Here is a 19,835-nt window from a genome sequence, read left to right as displayed (position 1 = left end):
TGGGCTAGGCTTTAGGCTTCAGTAATGGTAGTAGTAGGCTGAAGATGCCTGTCTTTTTGCCCAGGGTGGTGTATGCTGGCACCTGTGTTGGCAGTTCGCAGTGGGCCTATGGTGGGCCTTCAGGTGGCTTGCTTGGAAGCCAGTAGTGGCAGTGGTGGGCTGGGTGGGTTAACAGATTCTTGGGTCCCTGGGAAACCAGGGTGGTATGGGCTATCATGGTGGTAGTGGTGGGCTGACCCTCTGTGTCCTGAGCAGTGCAAGCTGATGTTGGTGCTGGCTGCAGTGCAGGGCTGCTCCCAACATCCCCAGACATGCCACTCTCAAGCTCTTCTTCTCTTTGTTGCAGCAGTTGTGTAGCGCCACGCAGAGGGAGGGAAGGACCCTGCCTTCATGCACAAGCCCAGGCATGAGAGCCAAGCTGCCATGGGGGGTTGGGGTCAGAGTCACCACTCACCATCCTAGACAGGTAACCTTCCAGCTCTGCCTTGGCCAAGCCTCCAGCAGCAGTAGGAATGGGTGTGTGGAGGGAGAGGAGCATTCATGTCCTCTGTGCAAGAGCCTGAGCCCAGAGGCTGCTCCACTGGTAAAAAGGATGTCACTCCTTGCCTGCAAAGCTGAGCACAGAGTTTGTGCCACTGCTAGGGGCAGGGTCTCTTCACACAGCCCAAGGTAGGGAGTTCTCAGGCTCTGCAAAGTGCATTCTCTGGTTTCCTTTGTCCCAGGGGCTGCCTTTTGCTACATGACACTGTCTTTTTCCCTGGGGAACAGTACTTCTTGTGAACTAGAGTACTAGAGACCTTGTAGTAACTTTGGGTCTAGCCAGTGCTGTGCTGCGGCAGCCTTCTGAGTGGATCCTGGGGAATGTCGGTGGGAGCTCCCAGGATGTGGAGAGATAGGGGCTGTTTTCCCAGAGCAAGATGCTGTTCCATGATAGCTACTCCCCAAATGGGTCCCTGCCATAGCTGATCATGTCTCAGCAGGGTTTGAATGACACAGTGTGAGTTCCCTGTCGGGTGCAATGCTCTTGCAGGGGTCTCCAGATCACTGCTCATGCTAGTGTCAGGGTTCGTGTGGGTAGAGAAACTCTCCTGTGGTTCAGATAACAATAGTCTGTGGCAAGGATGTGGACAACTGAAGCTTTCTCACTTACCTTTTCCCCACAATACCAATCCCCTTGCTATTGGTTGATCTTGGTTGAGCCAGCTGCTTGCTTCCTTCCCCTTCTGTGCCTCAGGTATTTTTTTTGAGCTCTATGTTGGATTCTAGTGTTCTCTCTTAGATGTCCTGTTTGAGGTATGATTGTCTATTCACAGTTTTTATTCTTTCTGAAGAGGGCAGGTGTCTCATGTCTCTAGTTAGCCATCTTGTGGCCTCTTGATTTTAGCCCGGTGAGATCCATGTAGGACTTCTATTTACAGAACTATTATTTTTCTTAAAGTCTACCAAATTGTACAAACTTCAGGCATCATAAAACTTAGGTCTTCCCCGGATAGGCCAAAAACCTGAGTCCCACTCCCAGCCCTGTGCCTCATTCCCCCAAACTCCTCTAAGGTAAGGGGCTGCCCAAGCTGCCTGCTCACTCCTGTCCTCTTCCTGGATCAGCTGGACAATTAGGTCCTTGCCTCCTTCAGAAGCTGGCTAGGGATCTGCATCTCTCCCTAGGAATGGGAATGTCCATGGTGAGAACCTCAGATTGGTAGTGGCTGGAGCAAGGAGCAGGACATATGATGGGCTGACAGGTAGCAGGGTCTGCAAAAATGACTTTTTAAAAAGGTGTAGTTACTACATTCAATGAGTGAAACACTGCTATAGTTTTTTTTTTTTTTAATTTTTACTTTAAGTTCCAGAGTACATGTGCAGAACGTGCAGGTTTGTTACATAGGTATACATGTGCCATGGTGGTTTGCTGCATCTAACAACCCATTACCTAGGTTTTGAGCCCTGCATGCATTAGCTATTTGTCCTGATGGTCTCCCTCCCCTTGCCCCAGGCTGACAGGTCCTGGTGTGTGCTGTTACCCTCCCTGTGTCCATATGTTCTCATTGTTCAACTCCCACTTATGAGTGAGAATATGTGGTGTTTGGTTTTCTGTTTCTGTGTTAGTTTGCTGAGGATGATGGCTGTCAGCTTCACCCATTTCTCTGCAAAGGACATGATCACATTCCTTTTTATGGCTGCACAGTATTCCATTGTGTATATGTACCACATTTTCTTTATTTAGTCTATCATTGATAGGCATTTGGGTTGGTTCCATGTCTTTGCTATTGTGAATAGTGCCACAATAAACGTATGTGTGCATGTATCTTTATAAGATAATGATTTATATTCCTTTGGGTATATACTTAGTAATGGGTCAAATGGTATTTCTGGGTCTAGATCCTTGAGGAATCACCACACTGTCTTCCACAATGGTTGAACTAATTTACATTCCCACCAACAGGGTAAAAGCATTCCTATTTCTCCACAGCCTTGACAGCATCTGTTGTTTCTTGACTTTTTAGTAATTGCCATTCTGACTGGCATGTGATGGTATCTCATTGTAGTTTTGATTTGCATTTTTCTAATGATCAGTGATGTTGAGCTTTTTTTCACATATTTGTTGGCTGCATTTATGTCTTTTTCTGAGAAGTGTCTGTTCATGTCATTTGCCCACTTTTTGATGAGGTTGTTTTTTTATTTCTTGTAAATTTGTTTAAGTTCCTTGTAAATTCTCGATATTAGCCCCTTGTCAGATGGGTAGATTGCAAAAATTTTCTTCCATTCTGTAGGTTGCCTGTTCACTCTGATGATAGTTTATTTTGCTGTGCAGAAGCCCTTTAGTTTAATTAGATCCTGTTTGTCAATTTTAGCTTTCGTTGCAATTGCTTTTGGAGTTTTTGTCATGAAGTCTTTGCCTAAACCTATGTCCTGAATGATATTGCCTAGGTTTTCTTGTAGGGTTTTTATGGGTTTAGGTTTTACATTTAAGTCTTTAATTCATCTTGAGGTAATTTTTGTATAAAGTGTAAGGAAGGGGTCCAGCTTCAGTTTTCTGCATATAGCTAGCTAGTTTTCCTAGCACCATTTATTAAATAGGGAATCTTTTCCCCATTGCTTGTTTTTGTCAGGTTTGTCAAAGACCAGATAATTGTAGGTGTGTGGCCTTATTTCTGAGGACTCTATTCTGTTCCATTGATCTATATGTCTGTTTTGGTATCAGTCCCATGCTGTTTTGGTTACTGGAGCCTTGTAGTATAGTTTGAAGTCAGGTAATGTGATGCCTCCAGCTTTATTCTTTTTGCTTAGGATTTTCTTGGCTATATGGGCTCTTTTTTGGTTTCATATGAATTTTAAGTAATTTTTTCTAATACTCTGAAGAATGTCAATGGAGTTTGATGGGAATAGCATTGAATCTATAAATTACCTTGGGCAGTAGGGCCATTTTCATGATATCGATTCTTCCTATCCAAGAGCATGGATTGCTTTTCCATTTGTTTGTGTCCTCTCTTATTTCCTTGAGCAATGGTTTGTAGTTCTTGAAGAGGTCCTTCATGTTCCTTGTTAGCTGAATTCCTAGGTATTTTATTCTTTGTAGCAATTGTGAATGGGAGTTCATACATGATTTGGCTCTCTGCTTGTCTATTGTTGGTGTGTAGAAATGATTGTGTCTTTTGCACATTGATTTTGTATCCTGAGACTTTGCCGATGCTGCTTATCAGCTTAAGGAGCTTTTGAGTTGAGATGATGGGGTTTTCTAAACATAGGATCATCTTGTCTGCAAACAGAGACAGTTTGACTTCCTCTCTTCTGATTTGAATATGCTTTATTTCTTTCTCTTGCCTGATTGCCCTGGACAGAACTTTCAATACTACATTGAATAGGAGTGGTGAGAGAGGGCATCCTTGTCTTGTGCTGGTTTTCAAAGGGAATGCTTCCAGCTTTTTCGCATTCCATATGATATTGGCTGTGGGTTTCTCATAAATATTTGTTTGTCTTATTATTTTGAGATATGTCCCATTAATACCTAGTTTATTGAGAGTTTTTAACCTGAACGGATGTTAAATTTTATTGAAGGCCTTTTCTGCTTATATTGAGATAATCATGTGGTTTTTGTCATTGGTTCTGTTTATGTGGTGGATTACGTTTACTGAATTGCATATGTTGAACCAGCCTTGCATCCCAGGGATGAAGCTGAGTTGATCTTGGTGGATAAACTTTTTGATGCACTGCCATATTCAGTTTGCTGGTATTTTATTGAGGATTTTAGCATCGATGTTTATCAGGGATATTGGCCTGAAGTTTTCTTTTTTGTTGTTGTGTCTCTGCCAGCTTTTGGTATCAGGATGATGCTGGCCTCATAAAATGAGTGACTCATAAAAGAGTCGCTCCTTTTCAATTGTTTGGAATAGTTTCAGAAGAAATGGTACCAGCTCTTCTTTGTATCTCTGGTAGAATTCAGCTGTGAATCCATCTGGTCATGGGCTTTTTTTGGTTGGTAGGTTATTACTGCCTCAATTTCAGAACTTGTTAGTGGTCTACTCAGGGCTTTGACTTCTTCCTGGTTTAGTCTTGGGAGGGTGTATGTGTCCAGGAATTTATCCATTTCTTCTAGATTTTCTAGTTTATTTGCATAGAGGTGTTTATGGTATTCTCTGATGGTAGTTTGTATTTCTCTGGGGTCAATGGTGATATCCCATATATCAGATTTTATTGTGTCTATTTGATTCTTCTCTTCTCTATTAGTCTAGTGAGTGGCCTATTAATTTTTTCAAGAAACCAGCTCCTGGATTTATTGATTTTTTGAAGCATTTTTTGTGTCTCTATCTCCTTCAGTTCTGCTCTGATCTTAGTTATCTCTTGTCTTCTGCTACCTTTTGGATTTGTTTGCTCTTGCTTCTCTAGTTCTTTTAATTGTGATGTCAGGGTGTCAATTTGTCATCTTTCTAGCTTTCTGATGTGGGCATTTAGTGCTATAAATTTGCCTCTTTTTTTTTTTTTTTGAGACAGAGTCTCACTCTGTCACCCAGGCTCGAATGCAGTGGCACAATCTCAGCTCACTGCAACCTCTGTCTCCCAGGTTCAAGGGATTCTCCTGCCTCAGCCTCCTGAGTGGTTAGGATTACAGACACGTGCCATCATGCCCAGCTAATTTTTGTATTTTTGTTTTCTTTTTTTAAGGCACTATATATATATATATATTTTTTTTTTTTTATTATACTTTAAGTTTTAGGGTACATGTGCACATTGTGCAGGTTAGTTACATATGTATACATGTGCCGTGCTGGTGCGCTGCACCCACTAACTCGTCATCTAGCATTAGGTATATCTCCCAATGCTATCCCTCCCCCCTCCCCCCACCCCACAACAGTCCCCAGAGTGTGATATTCCCCTTCCTGTGTCCATGTTATCTCATTGTTCAATTCCCACCTATGAGTGAGAATATGCAGTGTTTGGTTTTTTGTTCTTGCGATAGTTTACTGAGAATGATGATTTCCAATTTCATCCATGTCCCTACAAAGGACGTGAACTCATCATTTTTTATGGCTGCATAGTATTCCATGGTGTATATGTGCCACATTTTCTTAATCCAGTCTATCATTGTTGGACATTTGGGTTGGTTCCAAGTCTTAGCTATTGTGAATAATGCCACAATAAACATATGTGTGCATGTGTCTTTATAGCAGCAAGTTTTATAGTCCTTTGAGTATATACCCAGTAATGGGATGGCTGGGTCAAATGGTATTTCTAGTTCTACATCCCTGAGGAATCGCCACACTGACTTCCACAATGGTTGAACTAGTTTACAGTCCCACCAACAGTGTAAAAGTTTTCCTGTTTCTCCACATCCTCTCCAGCACCTGTTGTTTCCTGACTTTTTAATGATTGCCATTCTAACTGGTGTGAGATGGTATTTTTTAGTAGAGACAGGGTTTCACCATCTTGGCCAGGCTGGTCTCGAACTCCTGACTTCCTGATCCACCCACCTCAGCCTCCCAAAGTGCTGGAATTATAGGCATGAGCCACCGTGCCTGGCCTAAATTTCCCTCTTATCACTGCTTTAGCTGTATCCCAGAGATTCTGGTTTGTTGTCTCTTTGTTCTTTTTGGTTTCAAAGAAATTCTTGATTTCTGCCTAAATTTCATTATTTACACAGGAGTCATTCAGGAGCAGGTTGTTCAATTTCCATGTAGTTGTGTGGTTTTGAGGGAATTTCTTAATCTTGAGTTCTAATTGGATTGCACTGTGGTCTGAGAGACTGTTTGTTATGATTTCCTTCCTTTTTTCATTTGCTGAGGGGTGTTTTACTTCCAATTATGTGGTCGATTTTAGAGTAAGTGCCATGTGGCACTGAGAAGAATGTATAGTCTTTTGTTTGGAGGGGGAGAGTTCTGTAGATATTTATTAGGGCCACTTGATCCAGAGTTGAGTTCAATTTCTGAATATTCTTGTTAATTTTCTGCCTCATTGATTTGTCTAATATTGACAGTGGGGTGTTAAAGTCTCCCACTATTATTGTGTGGGAGTCTAAGTCTCTTTGTAGGTATCTATGAACTTGTTTTATTAATCTGGATGCTCCTGTATTGGGTGCATATATACTTAGGATAGTTAGCTCCTCTTGTTGAATTGATCCCTTTACTATTATTTAATGCTTTTGTCTTTTTTTTTTTTTTTTTTTTTTTTTTTTTTTTTTTTTTTTGAGATGGAGTCTCACTCTGTCACCCAGGCTGGAGTGCAGTGGTGCAATCTCAGCTCACTGCAAGCTTTGCCCCCCGGGTTCATGCCATTCTCCTGCCTCAGCCTGCCGAGTAGCTGGGACTACAGGCTCCTGCCACCACGCCTGGCTAATTTTTTTGTGTTTTTAATAGAGATGGGGTTTCACCGTGTTAGCCAGGATGGTCTCGATCTCCTGACCTTGTGATCCACCTGCCTCAGCCTCCCAAAGTGTTGGGATTACAGGCTTGTGCCACCGTGCCTGGCCACTTTTGTCTTTTTTGATATTTGTTGGTTTAAAGTCTGTTTTGTCAGAAACTAGGATTGCAACCCCTGCTTTCTTTTGCTTTCCATTTGCTTAGTAAATATTCCTCCATCCCTTTATTTTGAGCCTATTTGTGTCTTTGTATGGGTTATGGGTCTCTTGAATACAGCACACCGATGGGTCTTGACTCCTTATCCAATTTGCCATTCTGTGTCTTTTAATTGGGGCATTTAGCCCATTTAGATTTAAAGTTAATATTGTTACTTATGAATTTGATCCTGTCATCATAATGCTAGCTGGTTATTTTGCACACTAGTTGATGCAGTTTCTTCATAGTGTCATTGGCCTTTATATTTTGGTGTGTTTTTGCAGTGGTTAGTACCAGTTTTCCTTTCCATATTTAGTGCTTCCTTCAGGGGCCCTTGCAAGGCAGGCCTGGTGGTGACGAATTCCCTCAGCATTTGCTTGTCTGAAAAGGATTTTATTTCTCCTTCACTTATGAAGCTTAGTTTTGCTGGATATGATATTCTGGGTTGAAAATTCTTTTCTTTAAGAATCTTGTATATTGGCCCCAAATCTCTTCTAGCTTGTAGGGTTTCTGCTGAGAGATCTGCTGTTAGTCTGATGGGCTTCCCTTGGTAGGTAACCTGACCTTTTTCTCTAGCTGCTCTTAACATTTTTTCCTTCACCTCAACTTGGAGAATCTGATGATTATGTGTCTTAGGGTTGATCATCTCATAGAGTATCTTAGTAGGGTTCTCTATATTTCCTAAATTTGAATGTTGGCCTGTCTTGCTATGTTGGAGAAGTTCTCCTGGATAATATTCTTAAGTGTGTTTTCCAACTTGCTTCCATTCTCCCCATCTCTTTCAGGTACTCCACTCAGTCATAGGTTCAGTCTTTTTACATAGTCCCATAGTTCTCGGAGGTTTTGTTCATTCCTTTTCATTCTTTTTTCTCTAATCTTGTCTGCCTGCCTTATTTTAGCAAGATAATCTTCAATCTCTGATATTCTGTCTTCTCCTTGATTGATTCAGCTATCTTGTGTGTGCTTCATGAAGTTCTCATGCTGTGTTTTTTAGTTCCATTAAGTCATTTATGTTCCTTTCTAAACTGGTTTTTCTAGTTAGTAGCTCCTGTAACCTTTTATCATCATTCTTAGCTTCTTTGCATTGGCTTAGAACAAGCTCCTTTAGCTCAGTGAAGTTTGTTATTTCCCACCTTCTGTAGCCTACTTCTGTCAATTTGTCCATCTCATCCTCTGTCCAGTTCTTTGCCCTTACTGTAAAGGTGTCACGATCATTTGGAGGAGAAGAGTCACTCTGGCCTTTGGGTTTTTCAGTGGTGGTTTTTTTTTTTTTAAATTCTTTCTCATCATCATGAGTTTTTCTAGTTTCAATCTTTGAGGCTGCTGACCCTTGGATGAGGTGTTTTTTTTTTTTTTTTTTTTTTTTTTTTTTGAGACGGAGTCTCGCTCTGTCGCCCAGGCTGGAGTGCAGTGGCGCGATCTCGGCTCACTGCAAGCTCCGCCTCCCGGGTTCACGCCATTCTCCTGCCTCAGCCTCCCACGTAGCTGGGACTACAGGTGCCCGCCACCACGCCTGGCTAATTTTTTGTATTTTTTAGTAGAGACGGGGTTTCACTGTGTTAGCCAGGATGGTCTCAATCTCCTGACCTCATGATCCGCCCGCCTCGGCCTCCCAAAGTGCTGGGATTACAGGCGTGAGCCACCGCGCCCGGCCTGGATGAGGTTTTTGTGGGGACTTTTTTTGTTGATGCTGTTGTGTTGCTTTCTGCTTTTTTGTTTTTCTTTCTATAGTCAGGTCCCTCTTCTGTAGGGCTACTGTGGTTTGCTGGGGGTTCACTTCAGGCCCTATTAATATGCTCCCATGCCTAGAAACGTCACTTGAGGAGATTGGAGAACAGCAAAGATGGATGTCTGCTGTTTCCTCTGGGATCTCTGACCTTGAGTGGCACCCACCTGATGCCAGTAGGAATGCTTCTGTATAGGGCATCTGACAACCTCTTTTGGGGGGTCTCACCCACTTGGCATGGGAAACAGGACCCATTTAATGAAGTACTTTGGCTATCCTTTGGTGGAGGGGGTGTGCTGCTCTGGGGGGAAACCCATGCATCTGGACGCCCAGATTCTTCAGAGCTAGTAGGAGGAAAGACTAAGTCTGTTGGTCCATGGAGATTATGGCCACCCTCCCCATAGGGGCTCAGGCCCAGGGAGATCAGAGTTCTACCCCTGAGCCCCTGGCTGGAGTTCCTGTAGGGTGGCCCCACCCAGTCAGGAGGGATGGGTCAGGGTCTATACTGAAGAAGCAGTCTGGCTGTGGTTTGCCACAGCTGATGTGCTGGGCTTGGGGTAATACCTCTTGGGACCAAGCTATCCAGCCTCCCTGGCTCCAGCAGGGGAAAACACAGCCTGGAGCTATAGTGATGGGTGCTGCCCTTACCCCCTCTGGAGCTTAGTGTGTTAGGTGGCTAGCAGCTGCAGTGATGGCTGCCACGCTTCCCCCAAGGAGCTCAGGTGGCCTAGACAACAGGCCCCTGCAGCTGTGGTGATGGCTGCCCCTCCCTCCAGGAACTCGCCAGGCTTAGCCAGATTCCAGCCAAGTGGGTGTTGAGAATCTGCATGACTCCATGATTGGGATCCAAGGCCCTGGTGATGGGCTTACGAGTGTGATCTTCCAATGTGTGGGTTGCACGGTTCCATGGAAAAAGCATGGTTTCCCAGGCTGGGTAGCATACTCACTCACCGCCTTCTTTGGCTGGGGATGGGGGTTGCCCTTCCCCATGTGGCTCTAAGGTGGGCTGCTGCACCACACTGCTCTTCCTTCCTCTCTGTGGGTCACGCCAGCTGCCTAGTCAGTCCTGATGACAGAACCTGGATACCTCAGTTGCTATACAGGATTCAGATGCTGTTTTGGTTCTTTTTGATGGGAAACTTGGATCGCCACTGCTTCTAGTTGGCCATCTTGGCCCTGCCCTATAGTTTGATTTTGAAAAGTCGAATTATGTTCTCAGATTTGTTTGTAATGCTCTTCTCAGAGGTGACCTTTATTTTGTGTCTTTTGTTTGCATTGCATTCAAAGTGAGGATAAAATTGAGAAGAAGAGGTTCCTCTTTCTCTCCCTTTACCTGCCCTGAGAAACTCAAGCTTTCTTCTCTGCAATGGGAACCTGCCTGGAAGCTTTTGTGTTTCTTTTAGCCTTGAACTTAAGTCACTTTTTAGATGATGAAGTTGGGTACAGGTAAGGTTCTCAAGCTTCTGAAATTAGTTTTCCTTTCTTTAAAACTCTTTGTTTTATTGTGGAGAAGCACAGTGGGTTAATTCATATTTGAGAGAATTCTTATAGAAAAAAAAATGTCTTAGTTTGGATTCTCTCTGAATCAGACCCTGAAACAAGGATTTGGGGGCAAGTAGTTTATTTTTGAAGGGGTCCCTGGAAGCACCATGAAGGAGTAGGATTATGGGCTGGAGACATGTGAAAACTCAACAGAGAGTGCATTCAGGAGTGGTTACCACCATGGGTACCTGGGACTCAATCCTGCTGGAGACCCTCTAAGAAACTGTAGTTGCTACAAGGGGTAAGGAAGCTAGGGCATTTATTTACCATTTTCCATCTTTTATGGGTTGAAGTTTGTGTCTGGAGGAATTAACTCCCCACTATTTATGGCCTACCTGGATATGGGCAGCACATGCTCTTCAGGCAGAGGAAGTCCAGAGTCAAAGAGACACAAATGGTTGAGGTAGGAACTCATTGGTTTGTGAAGTGGACTGTCTGCCAAAGCAATAGGCAACCAATGCTATAGGAGTGGGTCAGGGAATATGGGTGAGGCACCAACTGTCTGTGTCAGAAGACTGTTGTTTTCAGATATGAGGAAGTTGGACTTACACTCCCTAAAGTTATACTCTGTTAGTGGCCATGAAAATAGATCTGTAATGCTTTGTGCTTTTTGTGGATAATTCCTGTTCATCCACTAAAACTCCATTTAGAGCCAATCTGCCTGAACTTAATTTATCCTTGTAATTCTACACAGGCTGTTCTTGTATTGACCCTGATCATTGTCTCTTGGTGGTCTATCTACCCAGAAAGTATGCTCTATCCTGACTGCCCATCAAAGCTCCCAAATAAGCCATATCAGAATGCAAGGATAATTTAATTTCATCTTTAGCACCCCCTTTCACCCTCAAAGTGTTTGTTTCTTAGTAAAGGGTGTATGTGTTGGGGAGTGGGTGTTTGAACATGGCAATAAACCTACACAGTGGCTCCCACTGATGTTCAGCCATGTTCTGAACATGTTATAATTACTGGTGGGCAGAGCCTGTCAGAAGTCTGTTTGTAAAAGGATTTAAGATCATCCTGGGAGATAATTATTATAAGGGGTGAGGAAGTTAGGGGTGACAGCTAGATCCAGTAACAAGCCTTGTTAATCAGAGGAGGGAGGCTATTCTGAGAATGGTGTGGTGTCTATGACTCAGGTTTGTCTCCATTTCTGGCCTCCCTTTAGATCGTGTCTCAGTCTTTCAGAGAGTTGAGGGTAAAGCTATAAATGAATACTAAATGAGTTATTTTGCTCAAACTGTTGGACACTGGAAGTACCAGTAAGATTACTTGGAGATCTCTCTAACAGAATGTAATACAATCTAAAGAGAAAGGGCTTATCTTCCAGTTCCAACAATGTCCATGGAGAGGGTTGGAAAAGGGCAAGAGGAATTGGAAGCCACATGGTATCTGACAAGTCTTGTTCATTATCACAGGTGAGATGCACCCAGGGATTTACCAGAGCTACTTGGACAGTACTTGATTGATGGCTGCATCCCACGGAAAGCCATGAAATCTGGGTTAGCTGATTAATGCGACCTTATTTGTTCCCATAGGCTGATGAGAACTGGGCAAACTTGAGCTGCAGATGGAGCATTCTGGTAGATATGGACAAATCATTTAATTTCTTTTCCACAATCAAGTTTAGGATATACATATACTGCCTGGTCCATAGTAGGTACTTATACTAGATATCCATTGAATGAATTAACTTTTCTCACATTTGATACACATCAAGAGTGAGAAAGAATTGAACTGATCCCTGACAAATTTCTAGTCCCCTTGAGGTAAGGGAACCATTACTTCTTTCTTATTTGCTAGGCCTTATATAAATAAATTCATGTGATTAAAAAAAAACATTAACAGATATCTAAATGACTCTGTCAGCCAGGTATGGTGGCTTACTCCTGTAATCCAAGCACTTTGGGAGGCTGAGGAGAGAGGATTGCTTGAGTCCAGGAGTTTGTGACCAGCTTGGGCAATACAGGGAGACATCATTTCTACAAAAAAAAAAAAAAAAAAAAAATTGCCAGGCATGGTGGTATGCACCTGTTGTCCCAGCTACTAGGGATGCTGAGGTGGGAGGATTGCTTGAGCCTGGGAGGTCGAGGCTGCAATGAGCCGTGATTGTGCCAATGCACTCCAGCCTGGATGACAGAGTGAGACCCTGTCTCATAAATAAATAAATAAATGACTTCGTCATTGTGAAAACTTCAGAAAAATGAATTTACTGGTGAATTAGTTTAATTGATTACCCTCAGTTTGGCATCACTTGCTAACAGTGTGTCTTTGGACAAGTTACCTAACATCTCAGAACCTCAGATTCTTCTGTAAAATAAAGATAATATTACCTACCTAATGATTATGTACATAAAGTGCTTGGTATAGCATATAGGACATGAAATAATTATAATAAGTAATTATAATGGTAATGGCAATCATCACTGTCATCTTTTAGATAGTCTATGGCGATGCTAAATAGGATCCACCTAGGGAATTGCCTCTACTTTGTTCTTTGTTTTTTAGTTGGTTTTCTGCCTAAGAATAAATATGTAATGTAACCTTCATAACAACTTTTTAATAAAGCCTTTGGTAGACAGGCTTATAAAAAGTTTCTGGAAATTTAGATACATTGACTATATGTGCAGTGGTTTTGTTTTATCTATTTTTGATCCCCTCAAAAAGTATCAATGGATTAGAGATTTCATTTCCTCTTATATCACCCGGGTTGGCTTTTCTGTATCAGCTTTTGCCTGTTTGCATCTTTTGGCTAAACCAGTACCTAAAACTAGGGACTATTGTGTACTTCTCCTGATATATCCTTTGTAGGCTGCTTGAAGCAAGGTTTGCTGGAGCCGTGTGAAAGTGTATATTGTCTAGAAGACAGAACTATTTTTAGCTTGAAGGTAGAGCTGTGCTTTTCCTTCTTGGCAAATTCCTTTTCTTTTGATGAAAGCCAAAACTTGAAGGTAGTGGTGACAGATTAGGGCCCTAATTGCTGTGTTGTTGGCAATAAAGAGAGATATTTATTGCTAATCAGGTAAATAACAGACTAAATTTCATCAGTGTAGTAAGATGAGCCCACTCAGTGGGCTGGTCTTGTAGAATACTTTTTCTAGTGAGCCTGGGAAAACTTGTGAAGTGGCAATAATAAAAACAGCATATGGTCTTTGCTGGAACTTTGTCATACATTAGCAATGTGCTGTGGGTGTGGTAATGAACATCAGGTGTATTTGGCTCAAGACTTCTAAACTTGGGGAAGTGGAATTTTGCTTTTATCCACTTACTGGAATGTGTTTTTACATTTCTGGTATTTTTAAAAAAAATAACTTAAGAACTACGTTATTTTTTTATTCCTTATTTGGAAGCTATACTGGTCAGCATAAGAAAATACTTAACTTAAGATCTTCAAAGGCATACTGTAGAGGTTTGGAAAGCATTTGGTTTGGCTTGAAGCGAGTTTGGCGAGTGAAGTGACAGGCACATAAGAAAGAACAACAGGTGAAAAAATGTGGAGTGTCTTTCATCTTTCAAAGGATTTTCTTGATGAATTGAAACAGCCATGAAAATAAGCACTGGCCTTCATGCCCAGTGGCCTAAAAGGACTTATAGTGGGCCAAATCAGAGTCAGGCAGGGGCCTAATGAAAATCAGGCAACAGGCCTAGGCCTAATTAAATATGTTCTGCCTCTCCCCACTTTTTATTCCTTTTGGGATTTGTGGTAGAGAGATATTTCTCTTCTTTGACTCAGATAGAGCTGGTAACGACTAGCAAAGGCAAACAGTGGCATTAGTACCTCAAGTAGAACCAGGAAAAATTTTTGTTGGCTAAATAAATTTTCTTACAGGCCTATTTCTTTTAAAAACTGCTTATAAAAATTAACTAATATATTTCTGGACTAAAGTAAATATCCCTTGAAGTGGTTGAATGGGAGAGACAAAAATTTTTTATTTTGTTTGGGAAAAATATATTGCATTTCCTCGTAACTATGTTTTAGAACAGCTTTTAAAGATGTTGATTGAGCTTCAGCACAGCTTCCCAAACTTGTCTAAAGGAGTCTTTGGGATCTATGAGTCATAAATTATTTTCTGATTAAGATCACAAGAAAGATGTCTCCATAGAATTCTGCAAAACGGTAGAGCATATTTGAACAATGTGAATTTGACATAAGAGTAGAACATATTATCCAAGGTCCTAATTCATATTTTGTTCATACATGTTCAAACTATGGCAATGTTTCCATACTTTTCCACAGTTTATAGAGTGCGTACACAGAGGACCTGAGACTGCACCACATATTCCCAGGCCCTCAGTGGAGGACTTCTTTCTTGCCACTACCCCCCATGAAGAATGTGGGGCTTAGTTTAGCATTTGAATACAACTAAAACTTCTACGTAACTCAGGGAGATAACAAAGTTAATTTATTACAGCACATTTATAAAGTCCTAGGAGTTGCCTGAATAATAATAATTGGTGAGTCCGTTTTATATTTTTCCAGCCTTTGCTTAGGGAGCAACTTTCGAAGTAAATGACAATGCCACATTTGGAAGAATTCTAGAGGCATGTGTTTTGGGAACAGCATGGATGAGAATCAGAGTGGATCTGCAGACTGCAGGACATTACAAGTATATATTGAGCACAAGAAATATAAAAGGTCAGAAAGACAGTAAAATCCTGTGACATATTCCTTTTTTAAAAGAGAAATATAAATACACGACTTAGCCACTGTCAAAGGGTGGTCATAAAGAACAACAAATCATACATTTTCAAAAGAAGTCCATTCCCCTGTTTTCCTTTTGAAATGCTTAATGAAAAGCTACACAAAAAATTTCTGTGGATTAAGGATTCTGGAATAAGCAAGAGGCAGTAACAGAAGTCCACGTGCTCTGTCTTTACTAGCTTTCATTGTTTTGGTTTCAAGCTAAGCAGGAAAATGTTCCTGCCAAGTGAATATGCATGTGCATGGGATGTTTTCTGCTTTGTTTCACTCAGGCGTTTGAAGAAATTTCCTGGTTTGTATCAGTCATACATCATTTTAGTGTAAGAGAAAACACACCCCTTGGAACAATTAAGGACTTGCAACTTACCGTTAGAATGAGTAATAAGCTGCAATGTCTATTTAGAATTGGTTTTTTAGAAATTAATTACTGAGATAAGTCACAAAATTCTTCACTATTTTCTAATAATTAAAAACCACAATTCCACAATTCGTCAGTGAGAAATTTGTCAGGGCAATATATTTATCATTTATCACTTTAGAAAGGGGTCCACAAACTTTTTCTATAAAGAGCCAGATAGTAAATATTTTAGACTGTGAGCCTTTGTAGCGTGCAAGCAGCCAGAGACAATAAGTAAATGAATGAGCGTGTCTATGTTCGAATAAAACAGTATGTATTACATGCATTATGTATTACATTTCATAGAATTTTAACATGTCTTAATATCCCATTCTTCCTTTGATTGTTTTTTAAAACCATGTAAAAATGCAAAAATCATGTTTAGCTTTGAGTTGCAAGCCAGATTTGGTGCAAGTGCTATAGTTTGCTGACTCTGTTTTAGAATATAAGACTATTATTATTTTTACTAAGATGTCTGAGTATTATTTTAAAGAGTAATGCATTTTTTCCAACTCAAAATTATTTTATAATTCTGGTCCAATGATTCCTATTTTTCAAATGCATTGTTTGGGCTGTTGGAAGACTGCAGGACGTGGGCTAGCTGAGTGGCGTGAGGTTGGACGAATTAAATTCTGACTGTGTTCCTCTCATTATGTTTTAATTCTGTTCATCAGTAAAAGAAACTCGTGCCATTGCCTCACTTGTTGCAATGAATAAATTGGTATAATTTTACAATGGAACAACTGCATGGAGTCTTTTGCTGCCTGAAGACCTGAGTGTTGGGCTCCTCTTCATAAAAGTTTCCATGACGATCTGGCCTGAGAGAATGACAGGTTTGCCCTCATGGGGAATTTCTCATTATGGAAGCTTTTCTTTTACTAGGAAGCTTTATGGAAGCTTAATAGTGGGTCAAACAGAAAGGACCAAATAGGACCTTTTCATAAACCATACCTTATACCCACCTCGGCCTGAAAAAGAGCTTGTTTCCTCCTGTGTGTGGTGATGGGGTGATGTTCAGAAGCTGGGAGTTTAGGGAGGACCACCATGCGACCCTGGGGTCCTTGCTTCCTTGTGTAACTAAGAGACCCAGACACAGGCATGTGTTATTAATACATGGGCTAAGCCAAGAATTGTAGGTCCCTAGCTTTGCTTATTGAAAGGCAGTGTGTGAAGTCTTCAAGAAAGTGGGCTCTGGGCACAACTAACTGCGTCTTTAGCTGGTTCTGCTATTTACTAGCTGTGTGACCTTCACTTCTCTGTGCCTCAGTTTCCTTGTCTGTAGAAGTGGTATGATAATAATGGTTTTCCTTTCACAGGGTTGTTGTGGGGACAAAGTACATTAATATATGTAATGCGTCTTAGAAAAGCACCTGGCACATGGCAGTGATAAATTATAGCTATTGGGATAATTTTCATCCTTTTTGGCCTTGAAAGTAACATTTGAAAACTCTTATTTAAAAGATTTTCTTTCAGGTATAATCACTATGACAATATCCTTTCATCTCTTCTTTCTCATCCATATCACTCCTTTATTCTACTGATGTATATCTTCCAGTCACCTCAGCCACCCTGTCCTAATATTCATTTTGGATTCTGACCGTTGTTTTCTGCCCACTCACTACATTTTGTTATACACTCAGCAATCTCCTGGATCTAAATTGCGAAACACTCGGATCATATATAAAAGGGAAGCCCCGTTCATTAGGTGTAACTTAATATGTTGTCATATAGCTATGGTATAGCCCAGCCTGGATTTGGTTACAAATCTATGGGTAATTCAAGGCAGATTTGTAGTAAGCTGCTCACCCACCTGCCCAGAGCTGAGAAGCTGAAAAGATGTAGCCCAGTTGGGAAAACTAGTAGTGTTCTGAGCATAGGCTTTATGGCTCATCATGCTTTAGTAGGGCTTCCCAGGGGTGTAGTGGAATGTTCTGAGGACCTTCAATAAACACATTTGTGCTTGACTATATATGTTGGGTTTGTTTCCCTTTTCTGCCAACTGCTTTCTGGCTGGAGAGAGAAAAAGCCTTAAACATTGCTGCACACTATTTTAAATCCAGCTTAAGCTGTTTTATCTTTCCTCTTGGGCCTGTTCTGCCTGTGCTCTCTAGAATGGGGCAGGGGTGTGAACAGCTGTTGAGGGAAGCTTTTATTTTTGTTAATTACTAACCCGGATTTGTCTACTCCTATTTTCTTGGAATGAAAGTGAGATGCTATTTTTTGTCTACTCAATGTAGGATTTTTTTTTTCTGAGAGGATATATTATATAAGTTATGGACAAAAACAATTCTAAAACAGTTTAATATGTTTGAATAAAGTAAGGTCACATTGAGGAAGACCACCTGCAGATAAAGGGGCATTGCATAATACTTATGTGGAGTCTTTGGGTTTTGCTCTTTAGGGTAACTATAAAACCCGGTTCTCAGCCCTGTAAGAAACAATGTTTGCATGGAATACCTGCTAATTCCTTAAAACAAAACAAAACACACACAGGTCTAGTATTTAATCTCATAATTCTTCTCTCCTTAGGTATCCCATCCTATAAGACATCCATATGAGGCACCCTCTTTGACTTCAAAAGGTATTTTGTGTAGGCAAGAAACACCCAGAGCATAAAGAGGAATGAGGCTTTGCTCCAGATATATTTTTATTTGATTGAAACAATTCATCTGAACGACATTTGCTGTGTATTAATCACTTATGTTTAGGCTTACGTAGAGTGTACATTTGTTTAGTAATGCATTTTTATCCAGCATGTGAGATTCCTATTGTGTGCAAAGGGCAAAACTAAGCCGCATGCTTGGACAACAAGGCATGCAAATGCCTGATTCTGTCATTCAGTCCAAAGGTGAAGTAATTCTATCTCTGCAGTATTTTTACTGTAGATTTTCTGGTATACTACTAGTAATGCCTATCATAAATCTGTTTATTTTTCTAAGAGAAAAATAAAAAAGAAAACTATCATTTTTAGTGCTTTCTGGATGCCAGGCATTGTAAATACATAACTTTATTTATTCCTCACATTAGGCCTTGAGCATAGGTATTATTCCCATATTATAGAGTGAAAACTGAGGTTGGGAATAAAATAGTGTATTAGTTCGTTCTCATGCTGCTAATAAAGACATACTCAAGACTGGGTAATTTATAAAGAAAAAGAGGTTTAATGGACTCAGTTTCACATGGCTGGGGAGGCCTCACAATCATGGTGGAAGGTAAAGGAGGAACAAAGCCATGTCTTACATGGTGGTAGGCAAGAGAGCTTGTGTAGGGTAACTACCCTTTATAAAACCATCAGATCTCATGAGACTTATTCACTCGCATGAGAACAGCATAGGAAAGATCTGCCCCCATGAGGTTACCTCCCACCTGGTCCCTCCCACAACGTGTGGGAATTATGGGGGCTACAATTTAAGACGAGATTTGGGTGGGGACACAGCCAAACCATATCAAATAGCTTGCCTAAAGGCCACACAGCTGGTAGGTTGTACAGAGACAGGGTTCGTAACAAGATCTGTCTCTTTTCACTAACCCAAATCACCTCCCTTCAAGCAGAGATGATCTTTGTTGACCATCTAGCAGAAAATGCTCACTTGGGAAAGAGAAAAGTGTTTTCTAAGTGAATTTAACTTTTTTTTTTTTTGGTTATAGAAATAGGTAGAAAAAGTACGCTACTTTTCAGATTTTAAGAAAGCAAAAATGTGAAGTTTAAATTACTGAGAAATAGGCACAATTACTTGATTAAACTGTGTGTGTAAGTCTACATCCAGAAAATTAAACGTTTAAAATGATTGCCCCACATAACTAATCAAATCCACAATCGATGTCAAAGTAAGGTATAATTTAATAAGCACAATGTAGACTGAAAAATGAGTAGCTAACTGTTTGGTTGCTAATATTAGTGTAATAATTATAGTTTAAAGAGTATTGCCAGTCATGGAATAAGAACTCAGGTTTTTGTAAATGCTTAAGAGCAACCTCAAGTTGCTGCTTCAAAGCAGAGACAAAATAGTCTTCATTTTTCTGCCAGAATCTCCTTTAAGCTCAGATGACCAAATCTATAAAAGAGAAAATGGGGAGATTTTGCTGTTCTAAAAAGGCTTCCTGATATCCTTGTGAGGAAAGTTGTAAAAGACACATAAAATCTTCTAAAATAGGTTATCTGTGGGCTATCTTAATATTGCACAAAAGTCTTTCATTTTTCTTAGTCTTGGCTTCTGTTTTTGTCTACAAATGGTAATAACTTCTCTATACAGGTTTTTGAAAGAGTCAAATGGTACGTAAACGTGCTTTGGAAAGGTTAAAGTGTTATTCATATATGATATGATTTCAATCTATGTCCCCACCAAATCTCATGTTGACATGTAATCCCAGTGTTGGAGATGGGGCATGTGGAAGGTGATTGGATCATGGGGTGGTCCTTCATGAATG

This window comes from Homo sapiens, chromosome 7, assembly GCF_000001405.40.
Source record: "Homo sapiens chromosome 7, GRCh38.p14 Primary Assembly".
Taxonomy (NCBI): Eukaryota; Metazoa; Chordata; class Mammalia; order Primates; family Hominidae; genus Homo; species Homo sapiens.
Note: the sequence above shows the minus strand (reverse complement) of the source record.